This window comes from Homo sapiens, chromosome 7 (genome assembly GCF_000001405.40).
Source record: "Homo sapiens chromosome 7, GRCh38.p14 Primary Assembly".
NCBI classification, from domain to species: Eukaryota; Metazoa; Chordata; class Mammalia; order Primates; family Hominidae; genus Homo; species Homo sapiens.
Genome location: NC_000007.14, coordinates 77,161,404 through 77,175,971, shown reverse-complemented (window position 1 = coordinate 77,175,971; position 14,568 = coordinate 77,161,404). Strand labels below are relative to the sequence as shown.

Sequence of the window (14,568 nt, the reverse complement as noted above, 5' to 3'; positions counted from 1 at the left end):
TGATAACACTGCTTGTATCCTCATATGCCTTTTGTTGACATTTAATATTTCAATCTTCTTGTTCACAAATAATGCTTCTAAAGAATAGGAACCTTTTTATGCTTTATGTCCATAAATTCTCATGGTATCTAGCATAATCCAGCACAGGAGGTGCTCAAAACCAAGGAGGAGTTGAAGGCATGAATTTCAGTAGCTTTAGCAATAATAATTATAAACATCTAGCACAGTGCCTGGCACATAGTAAATGCTGTATCTTTTATCTTTTAAATAGATTAAGACTTAATGTCCAAAATTATTGTTCACAAGGTTCTTGACATCTTAATACTCATCAAATCTGACATGCAACTGAAACTTGGACACAAATGCTGCTATTACATATTTTGTAAGAAGTACAACCACTCATAGTTTTATATATAACTTGTTTTCGTGAAAAGGTCATATATTAACAAACTTAATCCATCTTCATCATTGCCCATGATGATTGGTACACATCCACACTCTACTTTTAGTTTCATATTCTATTTTGATTCGTAGTTTTACTTCCTCGGTGTTTCCCTACAATGTTTGTTCTCCCTTTTATGCCTCCCAAATGCAATGCTCCTATGCCTCCTTTTTTCCACCCCTTGGCTAAGTCAGGTCAAAGACTTACTTAACAATGATTGGAACAATAATTATTTTCAGGAAATAAAGAGAAGGGAGGAGATGCCTGGCTCTTGGTAAAAAGCAAAGAGCCAATTATTTCGCTTAGGCGAAATAATTTAATGTTTTGATTTTGGCTCACAGCATTAAGACAAAAATGATTTTACAGCCTCCAAGTCTTGGAAAAGTTCAGCATCTGACACACTGGCCCTTGACAAGTGAGGCCACATTTATAAATCAGTGCTGCTTTACATAAGCACATACAGATAGAAGTAGAAATCCTAACTAGGGAATACCGTGAAAGCTATCACTTGTATTAACCCTGGACATGTGACAGCATCTAACATAATACCCATTGGAGTGTATGCTGGTTCAACGTCTTTGGAAAACTGATTGAAGGTCTTTACTAAAGCTGAATATAAACCTAGACTATGACAGATTAACCCCACTCCTGTGTATATACCCAAGATAAGTTCATTCTTAAGTACAAGGCATGCATAATGATCACAGAACTTTATTCATTATCTTCAAAACAGGAAATAATCCATTTTTATAAACAAAATAGAATGGATCAACAAATTATGGTATATTTACACAGTAGTGAGGTAGGAGGCAGAACTCGACTTCGGAGGTGGGGCTTGGACATCACACCAAATTGAGGACTAGCTAAAAGAGGTCTGAGGCAGAAGCACCTCCCCCATTAGACACCAGTGTGCCATGTTAGTTTACTGTTGCCATGGTAACATCAGGAAGTTACTGCCCCTTTCCATGGCATCAACCCGACAACCTGCAAGTTACCAACCTCATTCTAGAAATTTCTGCATAAACCAGTCCTTAATTTGCATCTAATTAAAAGTGGATATAAATTTGAGTGCAGAACTGCCTCTGAGCTCCTATTCCGTGTACACTGCCTATGGGGTAGCCCTGCTCCACAAGGATCAGAACCTCTGCTGCTGCAGTTCACTGCCACTTCAATAAAAGTTGCTGTTTAACATCACAACCCTCTCAAGGGCAAGCCTCAATTTGGGGGCTTGACTGTCCTGTATCATCAGGATACTAAGAAGCAACAAAAAAAGAAATCAAACTACCGCCATGCATAATGCTGTTAATGAACCTCACAACTATAAAAGTGAGCAAAAGCAGCCAGACACAAAGAAAAACATACTGTATGACTCCATTTAAATGATGTTCAGGAAGAGACAAACTAATATATGATAAGCCAGTAGAGTGTTTATCTTGGGTGGGAGCAATGACTGGGAAGGTCTCAAGGGAGACCTCAGGTTCCTGGAAGTAGATCCTGATCAGACTGAGAATATGGTGGGAGAAGAGATAAATCAATGAGATACATATTTAAAGGAGATATTTAACTCTCAAACTGACAAAGAGAATAAAGACGATTGGGAGAAGAATGACAAATTCAGTTATGGACATGTTGGTTATAGGCATACATAAAAAACCTGATCTGTACACTTAATATTTGTGAGGTTTACTCTATATGTTATACCTTAAATAAAAATTAACAATATAAAGAAAATGGGACAGGATTAAATATCCAATAGGACAAAAAAAAGTCTGGAGTACCAGGCCTCATAGTTACGCAGCAATGGCCAATTTGGGGAGCAGGTGTCCTACATTAACCCACACAGCCCATTGATGGGAGTTGTGTGGCTTGGTTTCCAAACATCACTTAATCACTTTTGTTTTTGAGACGCAGTTTCACTTGTTGCCCAGACTGGAGCACAATGGTGTGATCTGGGCTCACTGCAACCTCTGCCTCCCAGGTTCAAGCAATTCTCCTGCCTCAGCCTCCTGAGTAGCTGGGATTACAGGCATGCACCACCACACCTGGCTAATTTTTGTATTTTTAGTAGAGACGGGGTTTCGCCATGTTGGCCAGGCTGGTCTGGAACCCCTGACCTCAGGTGATCCGCTCACCTCAGTCTCCCAAAATGCTGCAATTACAGGCATGAGCCACTGCGCCCAGCCCCAAGCATCACTTTGAACATTCATTCCAAGGAGTGAATTAACAGTGTAGTTCCTGCCCTGTTAGGTCTTATTGCGATCATAGGTCTTAATGTGATCATAATGTCAGTGGGGAACTCTAAATTTTCTTTTTCTTCTTAAAAAAAATAAAGGGATAAGTGTGCAGAATGTGCAGGTTTGTTCCATAGGTCTACGTGTGCCATGGTGGTTTGCTGCACCTATTGACCTGTCCTCTAATTTCCCTCCCCTCGGCCCCCAACCCCCAAACAGGCCCTGGTGTGTGTTGTTCCCCTCTCTGTGTCCATGTGTTCTCAATGGAACTCTACATTTTCTATGCAAAATATTTTATGCTGATTAGTCAAGTGATGTGGGAAGAGTTGAGAGGTTGGAGAAACCCCTGTGAGCTGGCTACTCAGGCAGTTCCCTGAAGGACAAGAGATTTGAGCCAGGATCTCAAAGGTTAGGAACAGACCCAGGGGTTGCAAAGTGCAGTCTATGCAAGCATTTTGTTAGGTTTTTTAGTATGAATGGCATAGCTTAAAAGCAATGGAGGCAATACGACTAGGCAGATTGGTGGATAGCCATGATCTTACATCATGTATTTTGAATTTATGCCAGTTTCCTTAGACATCTGACGTTATTCCTTCTAAATATGGGAGAGTCCCTGCTGAGCGGAACAACATAAAGAGTAGCTCCTGAGAATCTAAGTGAATGACTAGATTGTAAAAGTAGTTTGGGTATAAATTGCAGAGGCCTGTGAATGTCATACTGAACACACTCTTCAGGCAATATGAGACGAGAGCATGACACCCATGCATTGCAACTTGGCAGTGCTGGGACAACTGTGCAACTAGCATTAATAACAATGAATGATATAAGCAGTTTCTGTGTTTTCCAATGCTATGCCAAGCAACTGGACCCTTGGAAGTGGATTTCTGACTGCTTTCCTTCAGTTGTCATCTGCACTTTTGCCATTTTTGCAGATACAGTTTCTGTTTAAACAACTGAAGGAAGACAAAGTAGGTTAAAAGACAAAGACAACTGAAGGAATATAAAGTAGGTTATACACAGTATGTTAAAAACTTGTGAGACCCATAAATTTTAGAGTAATCCTAAAAGAATTAGAAAATAAATTTACAGATGCCAATTAGGAACAATATCTTAGTGGTGTTGTTACGGAAATAAAGTTTTCTGAATCCAATAATTCTGAATATTCCGAAAGTTTGCAATTTATCACTGTTTTGAGGAGGAGTTCTCAGGCAGTAAAATTGCTGATATTGATACTACTCAAAAGTGTATGTAGCACAGTTCTTTGAAACGATTATTGAAAGCTCTTGGATATAATTATCAGAGGCCTGTTATACCCAGCAATTAATAACTATAAATTATGCATCCATGTATATTGAGAGATTCTTGAAATATTTATTAAATTGTTAGATTGAGGATCAACATGCATGAGAAGTTGTCCTAAGTTCTTTAATTTTGCAAAACAAACCTTAATCTTTGGCTTAGAAAACCTTGAAGATAATCTTTACTATTAGCATAACTTTTGCTACAAATAAACTCAAGTTGTTGTGATTTTTACTGTTTTGGCTTCTTTATAAACTGGTCTTAAGGTCACTCTGTGAAGAGTGGCTACAAGCCAAGATGGCTGCTTTTTAGAAGAGCCCTGATGGGCAGGCCGTCAGGTTCCTGTGTGTCAGTCAGGTGAGATACAATGACAAAAATGAGAAGGTGAAACCAAACGCATGAAACAGAAGAAATTTATTACTTACAGATCTGACAGCTTAGGGGTACTGATGGGGAGCGCAGATAAGTCTGGAGGTGGCAGGGAGCTCAGCAGTGGGTAGGGAGTGAGAGAGCAGCTATGGGAGCTCACCTTTATTAAGGTATATGGGTATTATCCCTCCGGTCTTCTCACAGGAGTTGTGGATTGGCTGGTTTAAGGAAAACATGCCAGAAGGGGGAAACTTATTTATATGACTCTGGTGTTGATCATTAAGTTTTATCACAGTTAGCAGCTGTCGGGTGTTTTGGGTTTGGGATTAGCAGGATGAGAAACAAGTGGGCTATATCTCAACCACATGGAGAGGAGTTATTTTAACTAGTACAAAGATCGGGTATGATTGGGTTTCAAACAACTTATGTCAGACCTAAAAATGCATGAGCTTACATCATAAGTGTGTGTTGAGTCAACGTCTTTGGTAGCTACTATATCAAACAAATGTATGACACAAGTTTAGCCTTATTTTTGATTTGATTATTAAGGGTAGTGGTGGAGAAGTAGAAATTTTATTGCAAAGTTCGACATATGATGGATTTTGACAGAAATGTGAACTCTTCACTTAAAATATTAAGATTAGAGGAAGGAAATCATGGTTTTAAAAATACAAAGATAAGCATTTCTTTTTCTCCACACCTTTGCCAGCATCCATTGTTTTTGACTTTTTAATAATAGTTATTCTGACTGGTGGGAGATAATATCTCATTGTGGTTTTGACTTGTATTTCTCTGATAATTAGTGATGCTGAGCACTTTTTCCTACTTTTGTTGGCCACATGTATGTCTTCTTTTGAGAAACGTCTGTTAGTGTCCTTTGCCTATTTTTAAAATGGGGTTATTTGTTTTTTGCTTGTTGATTTGTCTAAGTTCCTTATAGATTCCAGATATCAGACCTTTCTCAGATGCATAGTTTGCAATATTTTCTCCCATTCTGTAGATTGTCTTTTTACTCTGTTGATAGTTTCTTTTGCTGTGAAGAGGCTCTTTAGTTTAGTTCAGCCACTGTGGAAAGCAGTTTGGAGATTTCTCAAATAACTTAAAACAGAGCTACCATTCAGCCCAGCAATCCCATTACTGGGTATAAAACCAAAGGAAAATAGATCATTCTACCAAAAAGACACATGCACTCATACATTCATCACCACACTATTAATAACAAAGATGTGGAATCAATCTAGTGGCCCATCAGTGGGGGATTGGATAAAGAAAGTGTGTTATATATATACACCACAGAATACTATGCAACCATATAGGAGGATGAAATCATGTCCTTCACAGAGACATAGAAGAGCTGGAGACCACAATCCTGAGTGAATTAATGCAGGAAAAGAAAGCCAGACACTGCATATTCTCATTTATAAGTGGGAGCTATACACTGAGCACACATGGACAAAAACATGAGAATAACAGACACTGCAGACTACTAGAGAGTGGAGGGAGGAAGGGGAGTGTGGGTTGAAAAACTACCTACCGGGTACTAGGCTTACCACCTGGATGCAATATGCCCATGTACAAAACCTGTACATGTATGCCCTGTATCTAAAATAAAAGTTAGATTAAAAAATATATAAAGATAGATGTAGAAATAGATTTAAATTTGTGTGGATATAAATATTCATGAATCTGTTTCCCAGCTCTGTCCACTGAGAGGGGCTAGAAGCTATGACATTCTAGGATCAATGACCATGCTCAGCATTAATATCTTAGTTTCCAAATATCATTCTCCAGTAACAGGAACTAGGGATCCTCCAAGAAATGGCTGATTCTAGGGCTGGAGCAAAAAAAATACAAGATGAGCCCAGAACACTTTCTTGTGCCAGAAAGTAAGGAAGTGCAGAAGGAATCACAGGAGCATGTCAGAAGGACAAGTGAGCCTACCTGAAGGGTGTACACTGGCCAAATGTGGGACAATGATAGCATGAGAAGGAATGACAGTGAGAAACCTAAGTCCACACTGATAAAAAGATGAATAAATAAGGAAAGAAGAGAAAGTTCTTCCTTATAGTAGAAAGCCACCTAATAAATATAGAAGAAATGATGGAATTAGAAAATCACCATTTGACAACCATCATAACAAGAGTTGATCTGGGTAAGTATCACCAATAAATCCCAAACTTGTAGGTGAAAATTTTAAGAGGAGTAAGACAACCACATAGTCTCAGAGTATCTCTTCTTGAGGTGCTTATTAATTTCAAACAGAAAAATAAATAAAAGGTAAATCTGGAAGTCATCACCTTAACCAAGTGATCAAGATGAACAAGTCTAGCAAATGGGACAAGGCAACATCATGTGTTCCTAGTAGAAGACACTTGAGAAGGATACGAGATTGTGTCTTTATATCTTTACCAAAAATACATAGCATGAATCTAATAATAAGAAAATCGGAAAAATCCAAATTGAAAGAAAATCACAAAATAACCGGCCTCTTCTCTTCAAAGTGTCAATATCATGAAAACTAAAGAAATCCTGAATTTCCTTTAGATTAAAGGAGACTAAAGAGATGACTACTGAATGCAATACATAATCTAGAATTTTCTTTTGCTATAAAGAACATTATTGGGACAACTGGCAAGACCCGAATAAGGTATGCAGATTAGAAAATGGTATTATATCAATGTTAATTTCCTGATATAATTGTACTATGATTAAGAGAATGAATATATTTTTAGGAAATATAGTGATGCATTTAGGTATAAAGGGGCATCGTGTCTTCAGAGAGAGAGAAAGAGAGAGGTTGAGAGAACAAGAAGATAGAAAAAAAAGGATAAAGCAAATGTGGTAAGATGTTAGCGTCTGAGAAATCTGGGTTAAAGATACACGCAAATTCTTTGCACTAATCTTGCAACTGTCCTGAATATCTGAAATTATGTCAAAATAAAAGAAAAAGCCAAAACTGTAGAAAAAGTGAACAATTTAGCAATTTAGATCCTGTATACACATATATAGCACTATTATTTTTAAAATTACTTTTTTATTGCATTCTGTTCCAATTTGGTTTTGCTTCTTGGTTTTTAATAAACTGTTTTTGCCTTAAGACTTTTTAAACTTATTTTTTACTATGACTATCAAATTTCTTAGAATGTTTTATTCAGTTATATAAAGTTTATCATCTGAAATTCAAATGTCCTCTAAATCATTTTCTAAAGTATAGCTCTCAGGCATGACAAGGTAACAGCTGAATACATAGTCAGCCATTACTTAAAAAAAAAAAAACTCTCCTCATATATGGGTATTTCCTAAATGTTCATCTTGCTTTTTAAAGTTCACATAATGAGAATATATAATTCATCATATTCCCCTTTTTGCTTATTTGCTGATAGAAAACAGCAGATTTCAGTGCTCCACTGCAGTAACTATAGTTAGCTAGGTAAATATATATTCTTTCTATCATTATATGACAAGATATTTTAATTTTATGGAAGTAAATGTAGTATATGCAATAATAAAAGAAATCTTCTTTATTTCATGTACCAACCCACGAAATGTATGTAACTGACCGAATATATGTGCAAATACTTATGCTACGAAAGTATCAGAACCTACACTACTGCATTGGTTCAGAATTACATGATAAATTTTTGGAAGAAAAGGCAGGGACCATTTTGTTTTAGTGTATCAAGTTGTAAATATCACCTACAGGATATATGTAATAAAGAATTTTGATAATGATATTGGCTTCATTTGAATTTTTAAGTACATGTTGAGTTGGGTTTTACTGTAGTAACATATAAAGAAAAATATACCTCATGCAGAAAAATGAAAGCTGGAGTTTCAGATAAATCAACAAACCGCTCATCTTGAATGTTAATTGTGGGCACTATGGCATAAATGGGCTCTTGATCCTTTTCATCTTTCTCCTCTTCCTCTTCTTTTTCTGTGTCTGTGCTACTGTCTTCCATTTTTCACGATTCTAAAATAAAATTAATACATATGTGGCTATTTAGGAGTGTCTTCACTTATAAAGTAAAATTAATGGAAAATAATAAAAATAAACAAAAAACTGGAATAAGCTATTGTTCAATGAAACTACAAATCAGGAAAGTTAGCTACAATCTCATTATAAAAGACTGTTTTTTGCAAAGACACTCTCTATTGTTGCATTCAAATCAATCATTCTTATTTTTAAAAGTATGCTACTGTTGCATTAATTGGAAAATAAAAAATATATATGAATTATATATGTAAAATATACATGAATTATAATGAGAATGCAAGTCAGTATCAGCCTAGACATTTATGAAACAAGAAGCCAGAAACCTCTCCAGCTATCCTATTATAAGCAAAGTGTGCTTTCTGATACCTCTATAATCTATACATTGTACATATTTCTGTAGAAAAGTGCTTAAAACAGTGTATTGTAATTTACTATTTTTCATATTGTCTACCTTATTGGACTTCTTAGAACAGAAACTATATTCTTATTTACCCATATACCTTCAACACCTAGCAAATAACATACTTAGAATGTGTGCTAAAAATAATTGCCAACGGGACAAACAAGTTCTGCTGTTCTTTTAATGTCCAAAGAATATTACAATTGCAAATAGTTTACTTGAATTTTCAGAAACAAAATGCTTAACACTAAATCAATGCAGTAACAATAATTCATTCACTCCTTATTGGAAAGTTTGTTCAAAACCAAATTCCCACAGGAGCAAAACTGAGGTTCTTCTGTAATTGCTGTGGGCAACTGCTAACACCAGCTTCGAAAATTTTTTTCCTCAAATCATATTGGCAGGGTGACCCACATAATTTGCAGGACCCAGTACAAAAAAACAAATCTGGGATTCCTTGTCAAAATGTCAGAAAAATGTTCTCTGAAGGTTACCAATATATAAAAAGTTTTCCCTTTAAAAAAATTTATTACTTATAAAATATAATAGGGGTAATAGTAATACGTGAATAGCAACAAAAACTAAGTGAATAGTAATGAATCCTAAGAAAATATTTTTGATGTCACAATTTTATATAATAAAATAACAATAATGTAATATCTTGATTGATCATAAGATTTTTCTGGCTCACTTTTCTGCAAATTAATTTACTAGATCATCAAAATTTATACTCATTGTAATTTCATTTTTAATTGATCAAACTGAAAGTGATGTGAGCTGCTCTTGGGAAATGCAAGATCATAAATAATTTTTGGCAATTTTTAATTTGAGAAGAATCTTCCTGCTCATGCATCTTTCACTGAAGTTTATAAGAATATTTATAGGCTGTGATAACATTTAGATAAATTTCTGATAAATCATTTCAAAATAAAACCTTTTGAGCTAATGATTCTCATAGAACAATTTTCTAAAAAGATTTAACTCTTCATAAAAATCAGCTTCCTCTGTGAATTTAATTTTAAATGTACATTTATTCAATATTCATTTTAATGTTTCCTCTGACAATTCCTGTAACTTCTGGAGGTTGTGCAATAATCCAAAAGTGGCTTTATATTTTGTATATACACCAGAACACTTGCTTATATGCATTCTATTGTTGTATGTTCAATTACAAAAATAAAATAAAATTTAAAATGGTCTTTCTTGTTCATACTTCATTTATTCAAAGCTTCATAAGCTTTATTCAAGCTTGGAAAACTATTATTTTCTGTCACATGCAATCATCTTTAATTTCTATTCCTAAACTTATGGATATTTTATTTGCAATATTATAGCAATTTTCAAAACTGGAGATTTTAAACTCTTTGAAGAATTCTAATAACTCCTTGACATGTTTTATTGCAATGTCTGTGTGTTTGCTTTTATTTTGTAATATTTTACTAAAAAAGTTTTCTGCATTGAGTGCCAATAGTTTCTTTCCTTATTATATGTGCAGATACCACAGAGACAGATGCTGGGGACCAGCCTCCCATGGTAGGTTCCAGAACTGTCCCCATGCAGGCCTCTTCTTTCTCCTGAGGCCATCACTGATGTAGCTGTCCCTATTACTTTTGCTGTCATGTTGCCTCTGCTGCTATTGCTGCCATTGCTTTTGCCAATCTGCACTCAAGTGCTGGCCTGGCTGCCTTGGGACTCTGTGATACCCCAAACTGCCCTGATGCATGCATTTGAGCACCAGGCCACAGGCCTATTTGCTTGGCACCCACACCCTCTGCCACAGCCATCGATTCAGGCCTGTGCATGTGCACACTGCTGCCTGGCCTATCTGTGCTGCTCATGTGAATGTTCAATTGTTCCAACAGACTTTATTTACAAAACTCAAGCTCAAAAATAAAATTTTAAGTATTTAAAAATGGTGACAGCAGGGCATTAAACCAAGTGCAGGGCCCCTCTGAGAGCAGATCCTTGTGTGACTGCGTAGGTCATACATCTATGAGGCTGAAGCTGGCCTTGTATATTAGCCATCGATTTGGTCATGTATTCAAGCAGATCCACAACACTTTCTAAAAGGACTCTGTCTTAGTCAGCAAGGGCTCCATTGGTCCACTTTGGTGACATTGGGATGACTGCCCTTCTGGAGAGAGAGCAGGTAAAATGCCTCCACTGCATAAGAGAATGCCAATATCATCATCAGCTCTTTTTGATCTCTGAAATACATGAATCTTCACTGAATCAACAGAATATTATACTTACACTCTTCTCTTGCCAGAGAAGATAACTGCAATTGTCATGCTTTTAAGGTCTGATCTTCTGCTGAATATGTATCATTTCTCATGTCAATCTCATTGGATTGGCTGTTCCTTGATGACACTGAGCCTCACTCTATAACATGGAAAGCACGTTCCATCATAAGAAGCCAGAAGGCTTGGTAGGTCCTGGTTCTTGAATGTATTAGTCAGGTGGTCACAGACATATCATTTATTCATTAAATTTACTCCTCTCTAAAATGGGGTAAAATTAGTAAAACAAAACAACAACTAATTTTTATGTTTCAAAAAGATGTGCAGATTAAATGTGATAATGCCTCTGGGACTTGAGCTTCACTCTATCTCTAATTTTCTGCCAGCCGGAAATTATACATGTACTTGTTTTCCTCTTCCTGCTGCTACAACAATACTTCAGAGGCGGTAACATATACTTCCATCAGGAGGCTCCAAATATCTGATTGTCTGTTGTTATGTGATGTTAATAGCCAGTGGTATCATTTGACTTCCCTTTCTTTAACACATGTTTGCTTTTTTCAATGCCCTAAAGTGTTTTTTTTAAATAACCATTATTATTATGGCATTACAATACTTTATATTTGCTAGGTAATCACAGTTTATTGCTTAAATCTTCAAGCAGCTAAAAATGGTTTGGCTATATATTTAAATTTGTTTTGTGAATAAACTAAAATATGTACACTCAATCCTTTCATGGATATTAAATGTGAATGAATATCCCAGAAAAATATTTCCTTCAGAACATTAGGCTATATCTTATTTAACTTTTTTATTAAGAAGTTTTTCAAAGGCCAGGCATGGTGACTCACGCCTGTAATCTCAGCACTTTGGGAGACGGAGGCAGGTGGATTACCTGAGATCAGGAGTTCAAGACTAGCCTGGCAAACATGGTGAAACCCCATCTCTACTAAAAATACAAAAAAAATTAGCCAGGCATGGTGGCATGTGCCTGTAATTCCAGCTACTTGGGAGGCTGAGGCAGGAGAATCACTTGAACCCCGCAGGTGGAGGTTGCAGTGAGCCGAGATTGTGCCATTGTACTCCAGCCTGGGAGAAAGAGCGAGACTCTGTCTCAAAAAAAAAAAAAAAAAGAAAAAAAAGAAAGAAAGAAAGAAAAACTGTTTCAAATATAAACAATAGTAGCAGATTAGTACAATTATTCCTCAAGTACACATTAACGAGCTTCAACAAATATCAATTCATGAGCAATTTTATCTATAACCCTTCCACTTCCCCTCTGAACTCTCTAGGTTATTTTGAAGCAAAACCTAGACAATTAGACTTAATAATATATCCTAAAGAACTTTATAGGAATATACAGAGATAGATCTCATCCCTTTTCATACCTGCATAGCACTCCTTTGCATAGATGCACCATAGGTTACTCAATTTCCTATTTATAAACGTATTGAATATTTCCAGTTTTCTGCTATTACAAAAGGGTTGCAAAGTATAGTGCATCTATTTATTTTAAAAATACGTATATATGTGTATTTTTTTTTTTGAGACAGAGTCTTGCTCTGTCTCCCAGGCTGGAGTGCAGTGGTGCATTCTCTGCTCACTATAACCTCTGCCTCCCAGGTTCAAGTGATCCTCCTGCCTCAGCCTCCAGAGTAGCTGGGATTACAAGCGTGTGCCACCACACCCAGCTAATTTTTGTATTTTTAGTAGAGACAGGGTTTCACCATGTTGGCCATGCTGGTCTTGAACTCCTGACCTCAGGTGATCCACCTGTCTTGGCCTCCCAAAGTGCTGGGATTACAGGCATGAGCCACCACGCCTGGCCTTGAAATCTTTATAATCAAGATGGTATTAACTTTGAAAACTTAGGTTCAGACAATTTCTCAGAGCACTGCACCTTTAAATATGATGCAGCTTACCTAGGCAACAAATGATAAGTACCATGCTGAATCTGTACAAATTCTTCAGTTTGCTAAAGTTTTCAATCTCTATTATTCTGAAAACATTCTAAATATTTTAGAGCAAGTAAAGTATTTGCACAGGGAAGCAACTAAAAGACACTACAACAGAGTTCTGATAGAGATCATCAGAAAAACTTTAACCTTTAGAATAAAAATACTTAGGCATACATTTAACCAAGGACATGAAAGATCTGTACACTGGAAACTATAAAACTATGGTGAAAGAAATTAGACATAAATAAATGGAAAGGTATCCCATGTTATGGATTAGAAGAATTAATATTGTTAAAATGGTTTACTATACAAAGCAATCTACAGGTTCAATGCAATCCCTATAAAATTCCAATGGCACTTTTTTCACAGGAATAGAAAAAAAAATCCTAAAATTTATATGGAACAATAAAAGACCCCAAATAGCCAAACCCACCTTAGGCAGGAACAACAATGCTAGAAAAAATCACATGTTCTGATTTCAAATTGTAGCACAAAGTTATAGTAATCAAAACAGTATGGTGCTGGCATTAAATAAAAATAAAAGACCAATGGAACAAAATAGAGAGCCCAGAAATGAACCAATGCATATACAGTCAAGTAATTTTTGGCATGGATGTCAAGAATGCACAACATAGATTCTTCAATACAGGGTGTTAGGGAAATTGGATAGCCACATGCCAAAGAATGAAATCAGGCCCTTGTTTTACATCACACACAAAAGTTAACTCAAACTAGATTAAAGAATTAAACATGAGATCTGAAAGCATAAAACTCCTAGAAGAAAACATAGGAAAAAAGTCCTTGACATTGGTTTTAGTGATTATATTTTGGATATGACACCAAAAGCATGGGCAACAAAAGGAAAAATAAAGTGAGATGACATCCAACTAAAAAACTTCTGCACAGCAAAAGAAACAATCAACAAAATGAAAAGGCAACCTATGGAATAGGAGGAAATATTTGCAAACTATATATGTGACAAGGGGTTAACATCCAAAACATACAAGGAACTTATACAACTGAATAGCAACAACTCAAATAATCCCATTAAAAAATGGGTAATGGAGCTGAATAGACATTTTTCCGAAGAAAACATACAAATGGCCAACAAGTACATAAAAAGGTCATCAACATTACCAACCACTGGGGAAATGCAAATCAAAACCACAATAAGATGTCGCCTCACACCTGTTAGGATGGCTATGATTGAAAAAACAAAAGATAGTAATTTTTTTTTCTTTTATTATTATTATACTTTAAGTTTTAGGGTACATGTGCACAATGTGCAGGTTACTTACATGTGTATACATGTGCCATGCTGGTGTGCTGCACCCATTAACTCGTCATTTAGCATTAGGTATATCTCCTAAAGCTATCCCTCCCCCCTCCCCCCACCCCACAACAGTCCCCAGAGTGTGACGTTCCCCTTCCTGGGTCCATGTGTTCTCATTGTTCAATTCCAACCTATGAGTGAGAATATGCGGTGTTTGGTTTTTTGTTCTTGTGATAGTTTACTGAGAATGATGATTTCCAATTTCATCCATGTCCCCACAAAGGACATGAACTCACCATTTTTTATGGCTGCATAGTATTCCATGGTGTATATGTGCCACATTTTCTTAATCCAGTCTA

At 36.2% G+C, this 14,568-nt stretch overlaps 1 protein-coding gene and 1 long non-coding RNA gene across 6 annotated transcripts in view; one reads left to right on the top strand and one right to left on the bottom strand.

Moving 5' to 3' along the window:
- The window catches only part of CCDC146 (coiled-coil domain containing 146), a 172,590-nt gene that overhangs the window by 119,233 nt on the left and 38,789 nt on the right, over positions 1 to 14,568 (bottom strand). Inside the window, exons 2-3 of one of the 5 annotated variants that reach the window (XM_047420662.1) lie at positions 10,992 to 11,120; positions 8,148 to 8,314 (exon numbers count right to left, since the gene is read on the bottom strand). The exons of 1 other annotated variant lie outside the window; for it this stretch is intronic. In XM_047420662.1, the coding sequence (XP_047276618.1) occupies positions 8,148 to 8,303 (156 nt within the window). In that variant the 5' untranslated portion in view covers positions 8,304 to 8,314; positions 10,992 to 11,120. Of the gene's footprint in view, positions 1 to 8,147; positions 8,315 to 10,991; positions 11,121 to 14,568 lie in introns of those variants that run through there. 3 more of the 5 variants (NM_020879.3, XM_047420669.1, XM_047420665.1) reach the window with 3 other exon arrangements.
- Positions 9,426 to 14,568, top strand: part of LOC124901678 (uncharacterized) — a 40,041-nt gene continuing 34,898 nt past the window's right edge. Inside the window, exon 1 of the long non-coding RNA XR_007060391.1 lies at positions 9,426 to 10,271. This is a non-coding gene — a long non-coding RNA (uncharacterized LOC124901678). The remainder of the gene's footprint in view (positions 10,272 to 14,568) is intronic.